The sequence below is a fragment of the Homo sapiens genome, chromosome 14 (assembly GCF_000001405.40).
Source record: "Homo sapiens chromosome 14, GRCh38.p14 Primary Assembly".
Classification (NCBI taxonomy): Eukaryota; Metazoa; Chordata; class Mammalia; order Primates; family Hominidae; genus Homo; species Homo sapiens.
The window spans coordinates 100479575-100503055 of NC_000014.9; the positions used below are offsets into that span (position 1 = coordinate 100479575).

Below are 23481 nucleotides of genomic sequence, written 5' to 3' on the forward strand. Positions count from 1 at the left end.
AAAAAATCTTTATTTATTAGAAAAACAGTATTACAACAAATCTGTTAGTATAATTTAAAAAGTTATCTTACTACCCCTAGAACAATTCATTTCATTTCAGTGAATCTCTTCCCAGTCTTTGTCCATATCAACAGGGATCCCCAACCCCTGGGCCACGGACTGGTACCTGTCCATAGCCTGTTAGGAACCAGACCACACAGCAGGAGGTGAGCAGTGGGTGAGTGAACATTCCCGCCTGAGCTCCTTCTCCTGTCAGATCAGCAGCAGCATCAGATTCTCATACGAACGGAGCCCTATTGTGAACTGCGCATACGAGGGATCTAGGTTGTGCTCTTCTTATGAGAATCTAACTAATGCCTGGTGATCTGAGGTGGGACAGTTTCATCCCGAAAGCACCCCCATCGCAACCCCTGGTTCATGGAAGAATTGTCTTCCACAAAACCTGTCCCTGGTGCCAAAAAGGTCGGGGACTGCTTCGTATCAATTCCCATTTTATACTCTTGTAGTTGAAGAATAGGAATCAAGCATTGTCCATCTTGCCAAAGACTGCTGTTTGTGATTCCAGTTTTCAGTGGCTTTTCAGCATCCCATCAGGCAGAAAACCACATTTGTCTTCACTACTCCCCTCAGGCTGGACCGTTAGGGTGTTGTTTACAGTCCCTTCTCCATACGGGTTGGATGGCCTAAAGCAGCCAGTTCTTGACAACATTGTGCTGACACAAGAGTGACCATGAAAATCTCTTGTGCTATCTGCACTGCATCTTGTAGCAAAATAGTCAAGGGGCTTGTGGAGCTCAAAGAGGTATAGATTCTTCATTTACAGAAAAGCAAGTATTTCTAAAATTTTCTCTGTTGATAAGTGACTACCAGTTTTAGGCCCCTAGAAGATACTAGAAAAAAAAGATCAACACACTTTATTATCCATCATGGCAAATGTGATGCTTGAACAAAGGGTGAAAGAGTAACTACTTTCTAAAAAATTTCTACTATGGAGAGAACATTTTGAAAACAGATGTTTTTGTTTCCATTGTTATGTGATTTTTGTTGCCAAAAATGATCTGTCACCTATTAAAATCTTGAATATCTTCACCCTTAACCTGGGAACAGTGTTTTTCTAATCTGTTTTAAAATCCTTTAAGTGAAAATTTCAGTGGATTTTGAGCTGGGTGGTTACAAATATGATAATGCAATTATTAACCTGATTAGTTGCAGGAGCCATTATTTGACATTAGGGAAATGGGGCTTTACTAGCAAAATGTTCACAAAATCCTTTGCTTCGATGGTGGATAAAAGTGGAAAATGTCCGGGCAGCCCAGCTTTGCAAAGGCTCTCGTGGCTCTGCAGGCACCTGGCATGCACCCTCCCCATTGCCAGGATACCCAAGAGGAAGGTCAGCTCTGCTGAAGGGGCCACCAAGGAAGAGCCCAAGAGGAGACTGGTGCAGTTGTCAGCTAAACCTGCTCCTGCAAAAGTGGAATTGAAGCTGAAAAAGGCAGCAGCGAAGGATAAATCTTCAGACAAAAAAGTGCAAAAAAAAAAAAAAAAAAAAAAAAAAAAAGGGAAAAGGGGAGCAAAGGGAAAACAGGCCAAAGTGGTTAACCAAGAAACTAAAGTAGAGTTACCTGCAGAAAATGGGGAAATGAAAACTGAGGAGAGTCCAGCCTCTGATGAAGCAGGAGAGAAAGAAACCAAGTCTGATAGAATACCATATACCATGTCTTATCAGTGGTCCCTGTCTCCCTTCTTGTACAATCCAGAGGAATATTTTTATCAACTATTTTGTAAATGCAAGTTTTTTAGTAGCTCTAGAAACATTTTTAAGAAGGAGGGAATCCCACCTCATCCCATTTTTTAAGTGTAAATGCTTTTTTTTTTTTTTTAAGAGGTGAAATCATTTGCTGGTTGTTTATTTTTTGGTACAACCAGAAAATAGTGTGGGATATTGAATTATGGGAGGCTTTGACTGTCTCGGGTGTCAGCTTAACATTCCATACATGGGGGGTTAGTTTTTATATCCTATAATACAAAGCATGTTAAATGGCCATATGGAGTCAGTCCTGCATTTAACGTCTTGAATGTTTTAAATTACTTCTATTCCCTTGTTTTTTAGTAGAATTGTTTCCTAAAGAAAACCACTCCTTGGTCATTGCTCTCCCTGTCAGAATTGTGTGGACTCTGTAAATCTTTGGTTGTGGTAGTCCTGTTTTCCTAATAACTTTGTTACTGTGCTGTGAAAGATTACAGATTGGAATATGTAGTGTAGGTGCTCTTCAGTTGTGAGCTGGTGGGACGTCTGTAACAGCTGATCAGCATGTGAAGATACTGGTACTTGATAGCCTCTTAAGGACAATTTGCTTCCAAATTTTGACCTGGAAAGTCACTGGAATAACTTTCAAAAATAATTACAATACATGGCTTTTTAGATTTTTGTTACATGTGTTAAGAATTGTGTACAAATTGAAATGTCTGCACGATCCTCAACCAATAAAATCTCAATTATGAAAGAGAAAAAAAAAAAAAGAAGTGGAAAATGTCTCCCATGTGGCCAGTGGTGAATATCTTCCATCTAGGTCCGGGCATCTCTGCGTGCAAGAAACTTTGTCGGCTTTGATAGAGTTCAGTGGATAAACTGAACCTACTTGCAACCAGACTACATTCAAATAACTGAATCACAAAAAGTTCCCTACATTAAGAAAAATGGAAGCATATTCAATTCTGTTGCTCTCACTAAAAATAGTATTACATAACTCAGATGATTTCAGAGAGGTTCATTGATTCTCTTAATAAGGGTATATTAAAATATATTTTAAAATATTGACTTTTATCCTTGCATCATCCTTTAAAGAGTTCTATTTTTGGTTTTTAAAAAATGTTTATAATATGTTGGTACAGAGGCACATTATTCAACTTAACACAGATATCTATATATTGGTGGTATGTGCCTTAGGTTTTTCATGGATGGGGCGTACTGTCAAACTATAATAGCTTGGAGACCATGGATCTAGGCAGATTGGGTCTGTGAAAGCCTTCTGCTGGGACTGTCATGAGTACTCATGTGACTGTCATGAGTACTTTCATTTCCACACCTGGTGAGCTGGTAGAGCCCTTCACTAATGTGTGGGGGTCACAGAACACAAAGCAGGGCAACCTTTTGTGCTTTCTGAATTGAATGAGCAAGTGCTGCTTCCTGGGTTCCCGTGAGTGGAAATGATGCTTGAGACCTCGGTGTCTTCATGGTCTTCTTCGCCACCAGCTTCCCGTGTCCCTAAGTAGCCCACTGCTCAGTCCCATGGGGGAGTTTCTACGGGTACAAGGCAGTCAAGGTTCTTCCTCCTGCGCTGTGGGAGCCCTTGTGGCACCTCTGAGCGAAGCCTCCTCCATGTTTCTGGCTGGGTGGCGTGGGGCAGCTGCTGTGCCTGGTGTGTGAGCCCTGCCTGTGGGGGACATATACGGGGGTGGCACTCAGAGACTCCCACAGTGAGAACACCTCCCCAAGGCCAGTCTGCCTTCTTGATGCAGTTTCAGATGGATGAGGTGTGGACAGACAAGAATGACAGCCAGTGCTCTGGGACATGGGGGCTGCACTGGGCAGTGGAAGGAGGACCAGCTTTGACCTGCTCCAAATGATTGATGTTTTTGAAGTTTATATAGCTTACCTCTAAAAGATCATAGTGATAAAAAAGACGTTTTCCACACCATACGTATATATATGTACATACACAGACACTTACCTAATGCACATAAATGCTTGACAACAGTTTATGATGTATTTATAAAGGACAAGGACTGCGTTGTGTCCTGTAGAGCCAGTGAGACCCCCAATGGCCCACACCACCCTGTCCAATCTGTGCTTGGGCCACCATGATGGCCACTCTCATTTATCGCCCAGCATCTCAGGCCACCCCACCTGCCATGCTCCATAGCAAACCATTCATCCATTATTATAAAGTGGCTGATTCTGAAAAGTATCACCTTAGAACAATCCTGTTTTTGGTTTTTAGACTCCCAGATAAATAATCTACTGTATTAACTGTAGAGCCTTGGAAATGTTCCATGACCTCCCTGGGCTTGGTTTTTGGCTGTTAGGTGGGCATAGGGTCGTTGCATGGTTTATATGAGCTAATGCATGTCATGCTTACAGCAAATGTGAAAGGTGCACTCATCAATCCACCCATCTAAGCTCAGCCCAGGGGGAGGGGATGTTCAGCTAGTCAAGGGTGGGCTGGCCAGAGAAACAGAGAATAAGGGCAAATCTTGCTGCCACCGCTGTCATATTTCCAAAAAGTGTCCATTGGGCTACATCGGGCCCAGGGGAGCTGTGTTTGCTATGAGCCCCATACCAGATGGCATCTTAGTTTTAAGATATTTGTTTTGTGACCTAAGTACTTTCTAACCCTCTCTTCTCTTTTTGTGTTGTAGGAACCCAGCTATTTAGTGGTCGAAGTGACTTTAGAATCACTACCTTGAAATTCCATCCAAAAGACCACAACATCTTTTTATGTGGAGGCTTCAGCTCTGAAATGAAAGCTTGGGATATAAGGACTGGCAAGGTAATAGCCATATTCCTAACTTGGCCTTTCCACAGGAGAGCTTGTTTCGACAATTTGAATAATTGGGGGCAGGTCAGCATCTATATATAGGACCCTTGAGGTGGAATAATTACCACTTAATATTTAATCAGTGCTAAGCATAATTTTTAGATGTTTTGAAAGAACATTCTTGAGTTGTCAGACTTAAAATATCAAAGGTGCAATTTTATGCAGCATATTACTAAAAATATTTGTTGAACACCTACTGTGCACAAATGCTTCCAGATGATATAAAATGAATCTGCTGGGTTACTCAAGGGAATAATGTGCGGGTACAGATGACTTTGGTACAGAGAATTGGTGTGTGTGTGTGTGTGTGTGCGTGTGTGTGTGTGCGCACTTGTTTGCATGCTTGCGAGAGGAAGGGAGGGGGTAAGTGCTTTTAGCTTGCTGTGGGAAGACTTCTTAGAGGAATCACTTTTCCTCAGTCTTAAAGGCTGGTTGTGATTTCCATCCCCATCCTTTATTACAACCTGCTGTGCCTTTTACCATCACCACTTACTAGATGGCAGCTCCACCCTAGTTGTTCAGGCCAAAAACATCAGAATTAGCCCTGTCTCTGCTCTTTGCATCACATTCCCATACCCAAACCATTAGCAAATTCTCCAAAACTTGGACATTTTTCCCCACATCAGCTGTTGTAGCTCTGCTATTGTCTCTCGCTGGGATGGTTGCAGGAGTTTCCCATCTGATCTCTCACTTTCCCCCTTGCCCCTTGGAGGCTGTTCTCAACACAGCCGCTAGACTGGTCTGTTACAGTGTGACTCAGACATGTCACTCCTCTCATCAGAATCCTCCAGGCTCTGATCTTACAGTAAAAGCCAATGTCTCTGATGATCCACAAGGCCTAAATGATCCTCCTTGGCCTGGGGGTAGGTCAGCATTTCTCATCAGTGCCAGCCCCACTAGGCTCCTTGCCTTCCCTGAACATACCAGCACATTCCTGTCTCAGGGCCTTTGCACCTGCTGCTCCCTCTGCCTGGAAGGCTCTTCTGCCTGTTTCCTAAGTAGAGGCTTGCTGCCCCCTGTCATGGGGCTCTGCTCACATATTACCTCTCGGTGAGGTGCCCCCTGCCCAAAACCCACTAGCATCCGCTAGTCCCCTCTGCTATCTCATTTCTCTCCATAGCATTTACCATCACCTGACATATTATGGATTTTATGTGTTCATTCATCTGCCTGTTTCCCTCCTCTAGAATGTAAGCTCTTTGAAGGCAGAGAGTTTTGTTTGCTGCTGACATCTAGCTTCTAAAACAGTGCCTGGCACATAGTTGGCACTGTGTGAATCATGATTGACTGAGTAAATGCCAGAGGAAGGCAGTCATGCAGACAGGGCAGATACAGGAGGTGGGAACACAGGATGTCTATGGGGACTTGGCTAGGCGTGGGCTTCACACAGCGAGGTGGCCTGGGCAGAGAGTCTTTCAACGCTGTGTGTCTTGGTCTCAACAGTGGGGAGCCACGGGAGGTTTGTGAACATCTGCCTTGGTCCTAGACAGGTGCAGCGTCCAAGCAGATATGTCCTGAGTAGAGGCTGTCCATGTGTTCCAGAGGGAGGAGGGTGAGACAGAGCCCCCAAGGCCTAGATTCCAAATTTGCCTTCTTGCTTCAGACTGGCTGGCACCGGAAGACCCTTTCCTGACAGGCAGTTGGAAGGGGCTGCTGGTTTGTTGAGGAGAGCCTAAATGCAGAGACTTTTCTTGACAGAGAATGGGAAGTTTTGTCTGTACATGAGATCTTGCTTAAAGTACTCACAAGTGGGAGCATAGATAGATGTAGTCTTTAAAAAAAAATCACACATTTTTCTTTTACAAAGGAACTTTCTTATAAAAATATTTGGAAAAGGGAGGAAATTACCCATAAAGAAGTGGACACAGTGGCATTAAAAAAAAAAAACCGCCAAAACACGTTATATTTAGGATCTAAATACATGACAAGTGAAAGAAAACATTTGAACGTGCCTTGTGAACTGGAAACTCTTAGTCATACCGTTTGAAGTGGGACCTCCTGAGCACCCAGCCACTCCTGACAACCACGTCCCTTATGGGTGCGCTTACTGTTTTTAGCCTCAAAGACCAAACACGTAAGAAATTACTCACCAAGGACGCCATCTGATTTAAGCATTTGTTAAAAATACCGGATTTTTTCCCAGGGCAGATGCCAGCTGACGAGCTCTGAAAATGCTGGGGGAGAAGCAATTAGAAGCAGATGTTGCTGTGACTGGTGTTGGCATGTTTGCGAGTCTCTCCCAAGATAGTAATGTGGCTAAGGGATCTGTGCAGTATTTGTTTTTACTTCCTTTCTACCAACAATCCTCCCCCACTGGGTCACGGGGCTCGTTCCGTTTGCATCAGTTGGGCTCAGGGGACAACACTCTTTCCTGCTTAGACAGGTGTTGCCCATGTGTCTCAAATGGACTCGGCAGGAGGACCAGGGAGGAGGCACAGCCCCCTGCCCTCCAGGGACTCCCGCCTGGGGCTGCTCACTTCTTATCCCTGTGGGCTCCTGTGGCGCTGTCCCAGGTGCTGAACCTTCTGGCTCAGCCTGGGCGTGTATGTGAACATCCAGAAGTGAGCAGCTTGGCTTTTTCCAGCTGCTTTCAGGGACCGCGGTGGGAATCGCAGGTGTAAGTAGGAGGGACACAGACCTTAGCTTAAACCAAGACAGGCCTTCCCTTTTAAATACAGTAGGGAAGGAATGTTTTGTTGTAAAAGTAATACAGAATCATATGATAACATTGGGAAATTCAGGTAAAGAGAGGAGGGGGAGTCCAAGCAGCCAAAGGTAAACATTAGCAACATTTTGATATTCTTCTTTCTGTTTTTTTTTCCTCTTGTGGTTTTTAAAAAAATTATAAAAGCACTATTTGGTTTTATTTGTATACGCAATTTTGTGTTTTGCTTTTCATGTAGCATTAGAAGGATATTCTTTGTTAGTGCAGACCCTCGTAAGGTCGTCAGTCATATTCCTTTGACTCAGGGTGTTCCTGACTCACTGCCTTGCTTCTCCCCAGGACTCAGAACAATGTCTGGCATAGGCAGGAACTCAGTAAGTATCTATGGATCAAATGAATCAGATGAATGCTTTAACATATTAAACCATTTCCCTGCATTAGACATGTAGGAGATTTAAAAAACTTTTGCCATTTAAAATTAATAGATGTGAGGACAGAGACCAGCAGTCAGCAAACTATAGCCTAAGGCTAGTCCAGCTTGCTGCCAGTTTTTGTAAATAAAGGTTTATTGGAACACAGCTATACTCATTTATGTATCATCTGTGGCTGCTTTTATACTACAGTAGCAGAGTGGACTCATTGCAACAGAGACCACATAGCCCACAAAACCAAAGATATTTAAGATCTGGCTGACCTTGGTAAAGAGAGATGTGATTCTGACATCTGTCACCCTATTGATTGTCAGGACTAATCCTCCTGAGCTGGCTGACAAGTTGGGTGTCTTACCCCATTCTGTGTTCCTTGCAGAAACCAGGTGCTCAGAGAATGTGTTTTCCAAGTGGGAACTGTTCCTTCAGTCAGGGGTGTATAAGTTGTTTCTCTCTCTTGTTACAATCTCCAAACAAACTATCAAGGTTGACTTTATTACACATTCCACTGTAAGAAACATCTTTTTGCATATAGCTTTTTCCACATTTGGGATTTATTTCCTTAAGCTTGAATCTCAGAATGAAAATTTCTGGGTCAAAGCAAGCCTACATTGTGAAGGTAAGGAGTAGGTTTCTGCCAACAGAACTGAGGGGAGTGAGGCCAGACAACCTCTCCCTGGGATCTTAGGGCACAGTGAGTAGTTGGAACATACAACTTTTTAGTTACTTTCCAGTCATGAGATTTTATGATTCCTTAAACGTAGCCAAGTGCTAAGTGTCAAGATTCTGGACTTCTCTAGTCTAGCCCAATTCATTACAGCAAATGGGCTGTTTGGCTCCCTGTCTCCTCTTCTTGGTGATCTTGGGTGATCTCTCCGCCTCGGGTTTGATGTTTGTAGCACATCTCATTAGTGCAAAGTGCCTGACTTCATCTCCAGAGGTCGGCAGGATGTGTTCTGCACAAGCCAGCTGTGCGTACTTACTTGAAACTGGCTTCCTGCCGCTGCTGCAGCATCCTCTGACCCCTCTTCCTCCCAGCAGTCTGCTTGAACATGGGTGTGGTCTGGAACCCAGGATGCCTGTGGTCTGACCTTTATAGTATTGTGAGGGTCAATTTCTGCAGAAGCCCCTGAGCCTCTAGTGCCGTTGGCCTGAGCTGCAGGAGACCTGGGCTCACGTCCTCCCTCTGCTACTTGCTTGGCTGGGTGATTTCGGCCACATTCCTTAAGCAAAAGCCTCTCTGATTCACAATTTTTAAATTGGTATCGTAAAGTGGCAGGCCAAGCCACGCCTCCAAAGTAGCGTTTCTCAAACTCACCTGTGTAGGAGAGCACCTGGGCTCTTGTTAGGATGCAGATTCTGTTTCAGCAGGTCCAGGTTGGGATAAGATCCTGCATTTCTAACAAGCTCCCAGGAAATGAAGGGGAGGATAGTATATGGACCACATTTTGAGAAGCTAGGGACCAAAGGGCCTCTGAAGTTAAAAGTCCCTTGCTTCTCTCATTTGAACCTTATCCTCAATTAGCCTGCACCATCTGTGACCTATCTCAGGGACAACGATCACTCTTGATCTGTGGGCACTTTTATCCACAGGTGTTTATTTACAGCCGCTTGGTGTGGGAGCCTGAGTCACCTCTGTGCCTGGCATCCCCGACAGGGCCTGGACCAGAGCAGGTGTTCAGGATAACCTGGAGTGAGCTGATGGGGTCAGCCGCCACTGTCATTGTGATAGAGGCCTGCAGGAGCACCCACCTGCCCACAACCTCAGGGGCAGTGGCCACCCTGGGATCGACATAGAGGGCATGGCCCCTCTGACAAATGGGATATGAAGGCTAGCTGGAATTCAGCTGTAGTGAGTCATTCCAGAAGTGTGGACAGAGGCAGGAGGACTTGGGAGACCCTGTGTCAGATGAGATATGGTGTGGCCATCAAAGCACTGTAGTTCTCCACTGAGGCTGAGCTCCTCTGCTCCCCGGTGTTTGGTGGATAACAGAGTTATGAGTCTCTTGCATTTCCAGCTTTGCGGTGCTGTGGCTCTGTGCCCAGCACAGAATGGAAGCTGTAGAATTGCAGGAGAAGCCTGTGACACGGACTCAGCTGTACTGGGCCCTCTAGCAGTGTGGGGAATGTTCCAAGGTAGAGCCACTTTCAAGTTCACTTTAAGATGACTATGTATTTTGAACCAAAAGTTAGGATAAGTAATAAAAATAAATTCTCCTTTTGTAATATGAATCAGATTTGTTAAGAAAGCTTATATAGCAAATTTGGTGAATCACCTTTTTTGCAGGACTACATTATGGAACCCCAACCTCAGCAAATTACCTCTCAGTTAAGGCAAGATTGAACACTGGAAATTGGAGCAGCCCTGGAAAATCTAGGACATGTGGCTCCTGCAGCTGGCAGCCTGGACTCTGCCCCAGTTCCTCCTCTCTTTCTATGTGCAGGGTGACATTGGGCAGGCTAGGGGTCGAGTGGTTCTTTTGTTGTCTAGCTCCTACTCTGCGCCTGAGAAAAAGAGTTGCAGATGCATTCAGATCTGCCAACTTTACTCCTCCAGAGAAGGCTGCACCTCTAAAACCCCGATTCTCTGCTCGCTCTGGGACTCTCATGATAAAACCAGCTCTGACAGGCCAGCTCACTTTCTCCAGCATACCCTGGTGTCACATTGACACTAATCGTCAATATTTCATGCTTGTTCTACATCTTTTCTTCCTACTTTTATTATTATTTTTAAATTTGTAAAGGGACATTTTGACTTCCAGATCTTGACTTGGTTTCTTGACCTCCTTCTCTAGCTTTGTCCCACACCCTCTGCAGGCACGTGTCCTAACATGCAGGTGACAGGGGAGTGGGTGGCTCACCCTTGGGCCTGTGTGGGCCCTCAGCTCAGCTTCCTATGATCCTAGCCCATCACTAGTATGCTGTAGCATTCTGGTAGCATGTGGACTCCCTGAGGGAAAGAGTTGTGCCTCATTTACCATGGTATTCCCAGCATCCAGCATAGTGCTAAGCACATAGTAGGGAGGGAGGGGAGGCAGGAAGGGCGCAAACTGTCGCATGAATGACTGATAGCTCTAATCAAGACCAGTTCTTAAAATCACAAGCAATTATCCTGGCCAGTTGAACGGAGGCTGAGCCACTGTCATTAATTTGCTTATCTCCTTCCCCTCCTGTGGGCATCCTTCCTTGGATGGGAGTGATCTCAGGATGATAGTAATAGGAACTGGTAAAGCAGCAGGTGGTGGCTGGGCTGGCCTGACCTGACTGATCTAGGGCACGGGCCAGAGCTACCCAGGGAGCATTAGAAACTATTGCTGCCCAGGGTGGCCTAGGCCTCCAGGTTTTTGAAAACTCTGCAGGTGATTCTAATGTATAGCCAGATTTGGGGGCCATGGTATGGGTGCCTAGTGAAAATTCAGAGTGGTTTCTGTGGGGCTTCTGCCCCAGTGGGTGAGACTGTCTTTGAGATTTGCACTCCTGTGATGGTGGCCATCTGAGAGATGGCTTCGTCTACTTGGCTCAAAGTGCCATCAGTTTTGTGGCATTGTAGGCAAGTTGCTTATTTGCCTTAATGAGATTTTGATTACTCTCCATTTGTCTCTTTCATCTGTTTTATATTAAAAAGGCTTTTTATTTGGACTTTTTGTGCTTTCCACAGTCCTGACTAAGCTTTGCTGCAAGCTAAACTTTGAATGCAGATGAGAGTAGGAGCCTAATGGAGGCAAAGATGTAGGACCCGAGGCTGTTCCTTGTCTTTCTTGGCTCCCATTTCCTCATCTGTCAACTGGGGACGTGGTGGAGCCCCTGATGATCTCGAGAGCCCCTTTCAGCAGCCAGTGCTGACCACAGTGTGCCTCCTGCAGGCATCACGCTGTGCACGCTGTGTGCGCCATGGCTCATTTCCTCGTGGCCTCTTGGGAGGTGGACTGGGTGCTGCCACCATCCCCTTCCTCTGTCAGGGCCCTGAGGCTCGGAAGGGCTCAGTTACACACCACAAGCACACGGCCAGTTGGTAGTGGGGCAAGACTGTGAACTGGGGGTGGTTTGATGCCCAAACCCTCACAGATCCTCTTGTTCACAGTGTGAATTCAGCTTTAGTCTTGAATGAACATACAGTCATGCACCACATAATGACGTTTCGGTCAATGTCAGACCATATATAGGACAATGGTCCTGTAAGATTATAGTGAAGCTGAAAAATTCCTGTCACCTAGTGATCACCTGCAGTGTTCAGTACAATCACATGCTGTCCAAATGTATAGCCTAGGAGCCATAGGCTAGACCTCTAGCTTAGATGTGTCGCAGGCTATACCGTCGAGGTTCGTGTAAGCGCATGATGTTCACGCAATGACAAAATCGCCTGATGACGCATTTCCCAGACTGTATCCCTGTCGTTAAGCAACACATGACTAAATATTTATCAGTGAGGGCTGTGCGTTTTGTTCTTGGAGAAGCCTGCATGGACAGCCCTGGCATTCACATGCTCACTGAGCACTGCCATGTGCAGCTCCGTGCCTGGTGTCAGGACCTGGCCATGGATGGGACAGTGGTGGGTTTTGTTCTGAGGGACCACAGCCCTGTAACCTCAGGCCTGAAAACAGAACCCAACGTATCTGTGAGAGCAGCCTTCCTGCCCCCAAAATATTGGCAAGGAAACTGGTTCTGAAAGGTTCAGCTGTCTGTGCAGGGTAGGCAGCCATTGACGGGATTGGATCTGAACCCAGGTCTTCCTCTAATTTCTGCTTCTCCCTATTGCAGGAAGAGGACGCATTTCATTTATCCATGTCACAAACATTTTCTGAGCCCCCACCAGAAACCAGGCATTGTCCCAGGGCATGGGGCAACAAAATCCAGTTAGATGGCGCATGCCCTAAAGCTGTAGAAGGGACTGCTGAAAACATCTGTTTCTCTCAATATTCAGTGGATCCATCAGCTTCACTGGCTGCCTTCACAATTGGCTGGGGAGTCCCTGTGTGTTCCCTGGGTTGTCTAAAGTCTTAGGCAGAAGTGGGCAATTGGTTCCCAGAATCTGGAACCTCAGAGACCTGCCCTGCAACCCAGTCCTCCTCTTCAGCCTCCCTCTGCACCACTTTCACTGGGACTGTGTAAGAAGACCCCTGTTTAAAACCCATGAGCTGCCAACAAGCTCAGTGGATGACAGTGGGAGGCCCATGGCACTCAAGAGGGCGATGTTCCAAGACTTTCATTAACACCCACCCCACTTGATAATTTTTGCCCTTAAAAATGCAGCAGGCAGTTTCAGAAAATATAAAGCAGGTTCTTTGGACCTGTGCTGATTCTATAAATATGATGTTTCTGTAATTCTAATTTATAAATCTTCTATAATACATATTGCCACTAAAATAAGCTCTGTGCTGCACTGAACATGCTTCTTCTTAAGGTTTTTAAAAATTTATTTATTTTTTTTTACTATTGATTTACAATTCTTGTACTTGAAAACTTATTTTAGCCTTGCCATAACTAATAGTGTCCAAAAAAGTCATGGGCTTGATGCCTTAGTTATTTTTTTGTCTTAATATACTTTAACTAAAAAAATTTCTTTAGAGACATGGTCTCATTCTGTCACCCAGGCTGGAGTGCAGTGGCATTATCATATCTCACTGCATCCTCGAACTCCTGGGCTCAAGGTATCCTCCAGCCTCAGCTTCTCTAGTAGCTGGGACTACAGGCGCCTGCCACCATGCCTGGCTAATTTTTAAATTTTCTGTAGAGAAGGGTCTCACTATGTTGCGCAGGCTGGTCTTGAACTCCTGGCCTCAAGCGATTCTCCTGCGTCAGCCCAAAGTGCTGGGATTACAAGTGTGAGCCACCACATTGGGCCTAAAGTAAATACTCATTAAATGTTTTTTGGTAACAGATTTATTCTGTATTGTACAACTCACTCATTCACTCATTCACTCAGTTCTTAGTGTGTTTGCAGGGTTATGCAGCCACAGCAGTCGGTTGAGAACATTTTCCTCACCCCAAAAAGAAACCACGTTTTTTAGCAGCCATGCCTATCCCCCCAGTGCCCCAGCCCCTGGCAACCATAAATCTACTCTGTCTGTATAGATTTGTCTGTTATGAACATTTTATATAAATGGTCTTTTGTAACTGGCTTCTTTCGCTTAACATAATGTTTTCAAGATTCATTCACATTGTAGCCTATATCAGGACTTCACTCCTTTATGTTTTTTTTAAAATTAGACTTTATTTTTTAGAGGAGTTTTATGTTCACAGAAAAAATTTAGCAGAAGGGCTAGAGATTTCCCACTTGCCCTCTGCCCATTCTTATGCACAACCTCCCCATAATCATTCTGCATCAGAGTGGCCCATCTGTTACAGATGGTGAACCCACAGTGACACATCGTTGTCACTCAGAGTTTATAGTTTACGTTAGGGTTCACTTTTGATGTTGTACATTCTATGGGTTTGGACAAATGTTTAATGACATGTACAATAGACTGACTGTTTGTGTCCTCCCCAAAATTCATATGTTGAGGCCCTAATCCCTAATGTGATGATATTAGGAGGCGGAGTCATTGGGTGGTAATTAGGACATGAGGGTGGAGCCCATAGAACTGGGGATAGTACCCCTGTAAGAAGAGACACGAGAGAGATGAATCTCTCTCCACCACGTGAGGATATGGTGAGAAGACAGATGACTGTTTGCAAACCTGCAAGAGTGCCTTCACCAGACACCAGATCTGTCTCTGTTGAGATATCCTCAAGCTCAAAGATTCTTTCCTCAGCTGTATCCATGCTACTAAACTCATAAAAAGCATTCTTCAATTTTTATTTCTTGTTTTTGGAGACAGGGTCTCACACTCTCTCCCAGGCTGGAATGCAATGCTGTGATCACAGCTTACTGCAGCCTCAATGTCCTGGGCTCAAGGGATCCTCCCACCTTGGCCTCCTAAAAGTGTTAGGATTATAGGCGTGAGCCACTACACCTAGCAGTGCAGTGTTCTTTATTTTTGTTACAGTGCTTTTGATCTCAAGCAGTTATTTTTGGTCTTTTCTTAGAATTTCTATCTGTTTGCTTACAGTGCCCTTCTGTTTTTGCGTATTGTCTACTTTTTCCATTAGAGCCCTTAGCATGTTGATTATAGTTGTTTTAAATTTGCAGCCTGATAATTCCGTCATCACTGCCATATTTGAGTCTAGTTCTGATACTTGCTCTTCAAGCTATGTTTTTTGCCTTTTATTATGCCTTACAATTCTTTCTTGCTAGCCAGACAAGATGAGCTAGGTAAAAGGAACTGCTATAAAAAGGACTTTAGTAATGTGGTGTAGTGTCAGGGTGGTGGGGAAGTGTCTTGTGGCTAGGTTAGTCTTTTAGAGAGTCTGCTTCTGGACTGTGAGCTCACATGTACTTCTTAGTCCCCTCTCCCCTTTAAATAGGACAGGACAGCTAGAATGGGCTGGACCTGGGTGTTTTCTTCCTCCACATAGAAGGCTAGAGGGGAAGGAATTGGGCGTTTCCCTTCTCCCATGTGGAAGGCGGGAGCCAGTGGCGGTTGGGTATTCCCCTTCCCCAAGGTCAGCTAGGCTGTGATAAACCCAGCAGGTTAGACTCTGGCTAACTAGTTTCTCTGCAGTACAGACCTCATTAAGAGCAGAATGCACTTTAGGAGGCTGAGGCAGGAGGATTGCTTGAGGCCAGGAGTTAGAGAGCAGCCTGGGCAACATAGCGAGATCATGACTCTACAAAAACAAACAAACAAACAACATAGCAAGATCCTGACTCTACAAAGATAAATACATAAAAGAAGAACAGAATGCTCTGTTATATTTTAAAGTAGTTCTGGCTGGGCGTGGTGGCTCACGCCTGTAATCCCAGCACTTTGGGAGGCCGAGGAGGGCGGATCACAAGGTCAGGAGTTTGAGACCAGCCTGGTCAACATGGTGAAACTCTGTCTCTCTACTAAAAATATGAAAATTAGCTGGGAGTGGTGGCAGGCACCTATAATCCCAGCTACTTGGGAGGCTGAGGCAGGATAATGGTTTGAACCCTGGAAGCGGAGGTTGCAGTGAGCTGAGACCGTGTCATTGTATCCAGTCTGGGTGACAGGGTGAGACTCCGTCTCAAAAACAAACAAACAAACAAAAAAACCAAAAAACCCAAAGTAGTTCTTTTTCTCCTTCTGCTGGAAACATAAGGGGATTTTCTCCAGTCTTCACTGTGAGAACCTGGTAGCTCCTGGAGGTAAAATGCACAAAATTTTGGGGGCCACTGATGATCAGGTCTTCCAGAGTTTTTAATCTCTCTGACTTGTCCACAATGAGCCTCTAGCAATTTGTCAATTATAATTCAGTTTTCTGGCCCTGGTTCCTGTGGAAATTTCTGCTCCAATGCATTGTGATTGTTTATTCACCTATCTATGTCTCCAGTTTTGGGGGCAGTGGTTTGCCTTACGATCTCACTTCTTTTGTGGATCTGAGAAGAGTTTTCCAGTTTGTTCAGCTTTTTACTTGCTAGGACAGAGTTTTGATTTATAAGCTCCTTACCTGCCAGACCATTAACAGGAAGTCTTCTGCTTCTTTTTATGACCAAATAATATTCCATTGTATGGATATACACATTTTGTTTCTCCATTCTCTAGGTGATGGACGTTTGCATTGTTTCCATTTTTGGACATTTGTTTGTAAGTCTTTGTGTGGATATATGTTTTCATTTCTCATGGTTCTTCCTAGAAGTAGAATTGCAAAGTCATATGGTTGGTAGCTGTTTTTATGTGTAATCTTTTGAGAAACTGCTAGACTGTTTTCCAAAGTGGTTGCACCATTTTATATTCCCACCAACAATGTGTGAGGGTTCTGATTTTTCCATATCCTCACCAGCACTTGTTCTTACTTGTCTTTTATATTATACGTATCCTAGTGGGTACAAAGTGGTCTCGTTTGATCTCTTTGAGGTTTGATATAGAACTATTCAGATTGTATATGTCTTCATGAGTGAGACTTGGTAGTTGCATGCCTCAAAGAATTGGTTCATTTTATCTAAGTTGTGAAACTTAATGTACATACACTGATTTGTAATATTCTCTTTTTCTTTTGATATTTTTAGAGCCTGTAGTGATGTCTCCTCTTTCATTCCTGATAATGGTATTTGTGTCTTTTTACTCAGTCATTGTGACTAGAGTTTTATCAATCTTACTGATCATTTCAAAGAAATACTGATTTTCTCTATTGTTTTTCTACTTCCTTAATTTCTGCTCCAATTTTTATTTTCTTCTGTCTGCTTGCTTTGGATTTAATTTGCCCTTCTTTTTCTGATTTCTTAAGGAGGCAAGTTAGGCCATTGATTTGAGATCTTTTTTAATATAAACATTTTAATGCTACACATTTTCCTCTCAGCACTACTTCATCTATATCCCACAAATTTTAGTTATAATATACTGGCTGTATTTTAATTTTAATCCAATTACAAATACTTTCTAATTTTCTTTAGACTTTCTCTTTGACATGTGGGCTATTTAGAAGTGTATTGTTCAGTTTCCAAGCATGTGGAAACATCTGGAGATTTGCCAGATTTTTCTTTTTCTTTTTTTCTTTAATTCTTTTTTTTTTTTTTTTTTTTTTTTGGAGACAGAGTCTTGCTCTGTCCCTTAGGCTGGAGTGTAGTGGTATGATTTTGGCTTACTGCAAAGTCTGCCTCCTGGATTCAAGCAATTCTCATGCCTCAGTCTCCAGAATAGCTGGGACTACAGGCATGTGCCACCACGCCTGGCTAATTTTTGTATTTAATAGAGATGGGGTTTCACCGTATTGGTCAGGCTGGAAGATAGCTTTCTATCATTAATTTCTAGTTTAATCCTGTTGTAGTCAGAAAACATACTTTGTATTTCAGTTCTTCTAAATTTGCCAAGGTTAGCTTTATGGCCCAGAATATAGCCTGCAGTGTTGAATGTTCCATATGCTCCGTGCATTTTGCTGTTGTTGGGTGGAGTGTTGTATAAATGGCAATTTGGTCAATTGGTTGATGACGGTGTCTGTTCTTTTACATCCTTGCTGTTTTTTAATCTACTTGTTCTTTCAGTGACTGAGAGAGGAGTGTTGACATCTCCAGCTATAGTTGTGAATTTGTGTATTTTTCTCTTCAGTTCTGTGACTTTTTTTGCTTCATATACTTTGAAGCTGCCAGCACAGCTCTACTACAGTCCTCCTCTCAGGTCAAAGCTGTTAGAAAAAATAAGAAAAAAGAAACAAAACAAAAACAAAAACAAACAAACAAAAAAAGAAATCAAGTTCCCACCTCTGTACTAGTCACTTCTCTGAGTTTCTGTCTCTCTCTCACAAGCCACCTGCTCTTGTTTACTTTTCGAGTCCTCAGGGAGTTGCTTTTTGTATTTTGTCCAGAATTTCAGTTGTCATCAGTGGAGAGGTGGGCTGCAGGAGGTGTGCTCCAATTTAGCCTCAGGTCGATTTTGAACATATTTTTCTTTTTCCCTTGAATTTCCCTTCTTTTTGGCTAAATGTCACCTGTCCTCCAACTCTCTAGTGATGTCTCCTCTCCAGGAAATTTTCCCAAGCCCGACTGGATTGTGTGTCCCCCTCCCCCCGCCAGGTGATGCTGCTTCCACAGCTCGATAGCCTGGGTTGTAGCCCCTGGTTGTCCCCCGGTGGGATGCGAGCCCTGTGAGGGCTGGGAGACATGATGGTCTTTTCCAACCTGGTATCCCCAGACTGTGTGTGTGCTGGCATCTGGTCAGCAGTTCATTCACTGTTTCTTGAATAAGTGATTGTGCCAACCTCCATGGACCTGCAGTATAACTCTGCAAAGATTGTATGACTTTAGGAAAGTTTGTGCAATTCAATTTGTGCCCCAACAAATAGATTCCCAGTTTCAGGAGTGTGTTGATGGCTGTGTGATTTTAAGCACACGGATGTTCCATGTACCCTGTCAGTGGGCAGGCTTTCCTGGCAGCCACAGCCTTTTCTCACACCCCTGAGGGAAGACTGCTTGGTGCTTCTCTGCAAATCTGGCGCGGAGGCTGCGGAGGGAGATGGATGTGCTGAGAGGAGACTGAGGGCCACGTTCCGTAACAAGCGGGCCATTGCCACGCCCAGTTCAGAAGGGAGATGAGGAGTGGATAGCTCTCTTTCCCCTCTGCATGCCCCTTTTCCACCAAACAGATTTCTTGGTTTTTAATTACAGTCTTTGTCTTGAATTTTTTCTTTTTTTTCAAAAAGGTCGGTTTTCTGGCTCACCTCACTCATTTGCTCATTGAACACTGCGGAGCACCTGCTGTTTATAGGGTGTCTTCCTAGTTTAGAGGATTCAGAGAAGCTGCAGGAAATGTCTCTTGCCCTGCTGCTGGCACCACCTCCACCCAGTTGGTGGCCCAGCCAGAAACCTCTGCAGCAGCTTTAGGGTCTCCCTTCTCCACCACCTCAGTCCCTGCGTCCTCCTCTTCCAGGGCCAACATGTGAGGTTGTGCAGTCTGTACAGTGCAGAGAGGCACCTTGCTGAGGGATAGGTGGGGTCTGTATTCCATTCCAAGCCCTGCTGGCCAGGCCACGCCCCTGATTTGGAATGGTTTCTACTCGAAGGGGTATCTTTCTCTAATAGGAACCAAGGTGCCATGCGGGCCAGTGGCAGCCCTGTCCCTCCCCTTCTGTCTCTTACTTGGCCTGAGTGGGGCTGTGAGCCGATGAGAGGGCTTGTCGTGGGGTCCCCCTGTGACTTGGGTGCAAGCAGGGTGTAGGGGTAGAGGCAAAAAAGGGCCTTGGAGACCTGGAGACCCAAGTGCTGCCCATGACTTCAGAATGGAGGGTGAGGTGGTTGTTCTCTAGATGTTCGTTTTGATTAGAAAAGGAATACATGGTCTTTGTTGGCTACTTGGGAAATGGAAAAATATAAAGAAGATAACCCATTAAACTTCAACCCAGCCATAACCACCACTGACAGTTGGTATCCTTCATTCAATTGTTTTATGCATATGTATTTACATTTTTATATAATTGTCTTTCAGCTTATTATAATATCATTAGAATTTCCCATATTGTTAAAAGGTTTTTGGATGCTATAATTTTTAATAATTACTCAATATATTATACCAAGATGTATTTAACCAGCCCTCTATTGTTGGGTGTTTATAAGATTTCCAGTGGTTCCCTTATTACAACACTAAGGCAAACTTCTCTGCACAATAATTCTTAAACGCAGAATTAGTCGAAAGGTAAGCATGGTTTTTAGGTTCCGGAAACCACTGCCTGCTTCCTTCCAGAAGTGGAAGTGCCAGCTAACCCTGAAGAATGGGTTCATTTGTTAGTTTGCTTGTTTTCAGTGTAGGTGAGACTTATGCATGTTCACCTGCATCCTGGAGGAAGGCACTGGTGCAGAGAGATGGGCTGGAGGTGGGGTGGTGGCTGAGGGAGCAGGGTGGGTATAGGGAAGAAAGCCACCTCCTTCTTGAGACAGGAAGGAAGTGGGGCTGGGAGATAGAGCAGACGGGCCACAAGAGGCCTCCTTCCTTCCAGAGCTCCTGTCCTGGGCTGTGGAATGGGTCCCAGGGGGTGAAGTTCGCTGTGTTCTGCTTTGCTCCCAGTCCTTGCTAATCAGCCCAGCCAAGCACCTCAGAACTCAAAGGGGTGGCCAGGATTCACTGCACACCTGGTGAATGTAGAATTCAGTGTTTGGAGTCAGGTGGGATACAAGGACTGGAAATTGACACCAGATAGCTCTGTCTGGTGGGGAGACAGAGCTGTCCCTGAGATGGGGGATGGTACAAGCATTGGGAAATGGTCTTGCAGCCTGCCTGGCCCCGCTCCACCCAGAGGTTCCCTGGGACCTGGTTGCTGTCTTCCTAGAGGTGCCACAACCCTCCTCCCCTACTTCTCTCTTACCTGCTGCATCCTCTCTGTGCACCAAGGAGGAGGGCCAGCCTGACTGGATGGGGCGGCTCCCTCCTAGTGCATTGTGTGTGCCCCTGGTGTGGACACTGGAGGGGCCCGAGAGTGGGGTGGCTTGCTCACTCTTACTTCTCTCCTGCTGCGGTTCTGGGTGGTTCAGGACCTGCGGGGGCTGCGGGGAAGGCCCTGCCCTAATTCAGTGGCCTAGAGGCAGGCCAGCTCGTCTCTTCTGCTCCTTCTTCCAGGGACCCGAGGAGGGTGAAGTGGCTCTGGCTGTGGAGGGTGGAGAAGGAGGGGTGGGGATGGTCAGATGGAGGCATGCCGGGCACGGGGCATTCTCTGTGGCCCAGCCCAAGGCCAGTGCACCACAAAGTGGCCTTTTTTGGTCCCTGTTGACCCTGTGCCTCATTAGAGAGATAGACCCCTCCCCTCAGTGCCCTAGTTAGTTTCTCTGGGGCTAGGCAGGGCCTGGGGTTTTGGGGCCCCCCACAGTTTTGACGCTGGCTCAGCCAAGCGAGCCTCACCATCTCCATCTCTGTTCAGAGTAGGCCTGAGCCTCTGTCCATTGTCCTACGTGGCTTCTTTGGGGTTGAGGGTGCGTGGAGGAGGCAGCTGCAGGTGGTACTGCGAGGCAGGGGCCTGGGCTTTTCAGAGTTGGGCTGCTCTTGGGGGTGGCTGCATTGTTAGAGCCTAGTTTTAATTTGTGCCTCCGCTATAAAGTAAGGGAAACCAATTTTTCACTTGAGAGGATCAACACACAAATACATGTGTAATTGTCTATTTCTGCTTTTCTTCCTTTCCCATGTGTTTTGTATCTGTAATTTAAAATTTCACAGTCTTCAACATGACAGTTTCTCTGTGGGTATGTTTAGATTCAATTAGATTCAATTCAAATTCAGCAAACACTAATTGAGCAGCTACTGTGTGCACCGGGCGACCTGGTGTAGTGCATGGTACAGAGGGGTCCGGCTTGAATGTCAGGCCATGGAGTAGGTGTGACAGTGGCTCTGCCTGCACCTCGCTTCATGATTGTGGGCAGGGCACTTCACCTGTCTGACCTCAGTGTCCTCAACTGTACAGTGCAGCTGGCGAGCCCAACTTTCCCAAAGTGGTCACGAGGATTAAGGAGGTCACATGTAAGGCACCTAGCAAGACAGATGGCACTTAGAGTGTTCAATAAATGCTCCTGGCCATCTTGATGTCTTCAGATGATGATCACAACAGGGTTGTGCCCTCCACGAGCTCATGATAATTGGCCATCATGAGCTGTCTTCAGTTTTGCTAAAAGTGGAGCAGAGATTGTACCTTCCCCCCAGCCAGACAGCATACCTGGCCAAAACATCAAGTGCCTGTGCTTTCGGCTGAAGATGTTCTAACCCAGTGCGATAACACCGGTCATCTCAGGCTGATCAGAAGCTCAGATACACATTCTCCCATGTCTTTGATTAATTTTTTAAAGGGAGAAGTGAATTAATTATTGCTGAATAAGTGTGGACACTCAGGATGTGGGGGAAAGAACCTAAAATGGGAACTTAGGAGCTGTCACTGTGGGAACCCCTGTGTAAGCCACCCCAGGAGCTGTCAGAGGCCCTGTGATTCCCACATGGCAACAAGCCAGTAAATACCCTCCAAGACAGAGGAAGGTACAGCTCAGCCCTTCCTGATGGATGGAGAACTTGAGGACCAGAGAATGGGGGCACTGAATGTGGGGGCTCACAAAGGCCATTTGGGCCTTTTCCTTGGAGGAGGATGCTGGGAAATGGTCCCTCAGGCAATGCAGAGAGGAGGATGGTGCAGTCTGCCTGGAGCTGTGCAGCAGACAAGGGCCAGCTTCATCTCACTCTCCAGGAGCCCCAGGGAGCCCTCCTTCCCTGTCCGCTCCTACCACCCTTTGGTGGATCCTATTCCCCATCCCTCCCCGGGTCCCGTGACCTGTCCCCAGACAGCTCTTTGGGCTGTTTGATGGGGCTCACACCTAGGAAGGCTGTCCTTGGAGGATATGTTCTGCTTCTGTTGGAAGTGCCTCAGGCATGGCCCCTTGATAGTTGTGGGAGGTGCAGGCAGAGCCCCCCACTGTGGTGGCCCTTGCCCTCCCACTCAGCTCTGAGCCTGATGTCATCCACCTCTGTACATTGTCCGAGGGACAGTTTCATAACTTCCCTGCTTAAGGGGAAAGGCCTTAAGGCTCTCATGAGCCCCCCACATTCAGTGCCCTCATTCCCTGGTCCTCAGTTTCCCCATCTGCCAGGAATAGGCTGAACTCCATGACCTAGCCTGTGTAGAGCACAACCCCCAGTTGTTAGCTGGGAATGGCTCTGACGAGGCCTTCCTGCTGCGAGTAGTCAGCTCCCTCTCCTGGAGCTGGGGGAGCTGGGGGACCCAAGACACTCACAGGCTGCTCCCCACCTGCCAGCTCCAGTTCCACCAGTGTCCTGGAGCTGCTCACTTTAGAGTTCTTCATTAGGGGTCCTATAGACACTTGCTGAATTAACCACTGCATGGCCAAGTGGCCACGGCGTGGGGGAACATGAGGTCCCTCCCTGCATGGCGAGGGGAGGAGTCAGTCTCCACAGAGTACATCGTGATGGGAACTGCTTGGGGGCTAATGAAAGACTCACAGAAGAAGGAGCTAATGATTTTGCTTGCCACATTGGGAGGCTTGGCTGGCAGAGGGTTTCAAAGGATACATAGGAGTTTTCTAGGCAGCAAGTCAAGGTAGGGTATTTTAGGCATAAGGAATGTATAAAGGCACGTAGGCACTAAAGGGCACAACATATGAGGGAATGGTGAGGGTTTTTTGTTGCTGGAGAACACGCAGTGTGTGTCTGTGAGTGTGTGTGTCTGTATGTGTGTCGGTGCATGTGTGTGTGTCCATCCATGCATGTGTGTGTCCATCCATGCATGTGTGTGTGTCTGTGTCCGTGTGTGTGTG

General features: G+C 45.8%; 1 protein-coding gene and 2 pseudogenes across 7 annotated transcripts in view, besides 1 other annotated feature; all 3 read left to right on the top strand.

The window, feature by feature from the left end:
* WDR25 (WD repeat domain 25) overlaps positions 1-23481 on the top strand; it is a 153819-nt gene that overhangs the window by 103090 nt on the left and 27248 nt on the right. For all 7 annotated transcript variants that reach the window (NM_001350947.2, NM_024515.6, NM_001350948.2 and 4 more), the window contains one exon: positions 4420-4550. In NM_001350947.2, coding sequence (NP_001337876.1) covers positions 4420-4550 — 131 coding nt within the window. The remainder of the gene's footprint in view (positions 1-4419; positions 4551-23481) is intronic.
* HMGN1P25 (high mobility group nucleosome binding domain 1 pseudogene 25) lies at positions 1307-2504 on the top strand (annotated as a pseudogene).
* On the top strand, positions 7970-8213 carry RN7SKP92 (RN7SK pseudogene 92; annotated as a pseudogene).
* Positions 20227-20727: an enhancer, noted in NCBI's record as "H3K4me1 hESC enhancer chr14:100966138-100966638 (GRCh37/hg19 assembly coordinates)". NCBI's record gives its function as "activates a minimal SCP1, AML or CMV promoter by ChIP-STARR-seq in primed H9 embryonic stem cells {active_cell/tissue: H9 hESC(primed)}" and the evidence as "EXISTENCE:reporter gene assay evidence [ECO:0000049][PMID:30033119]".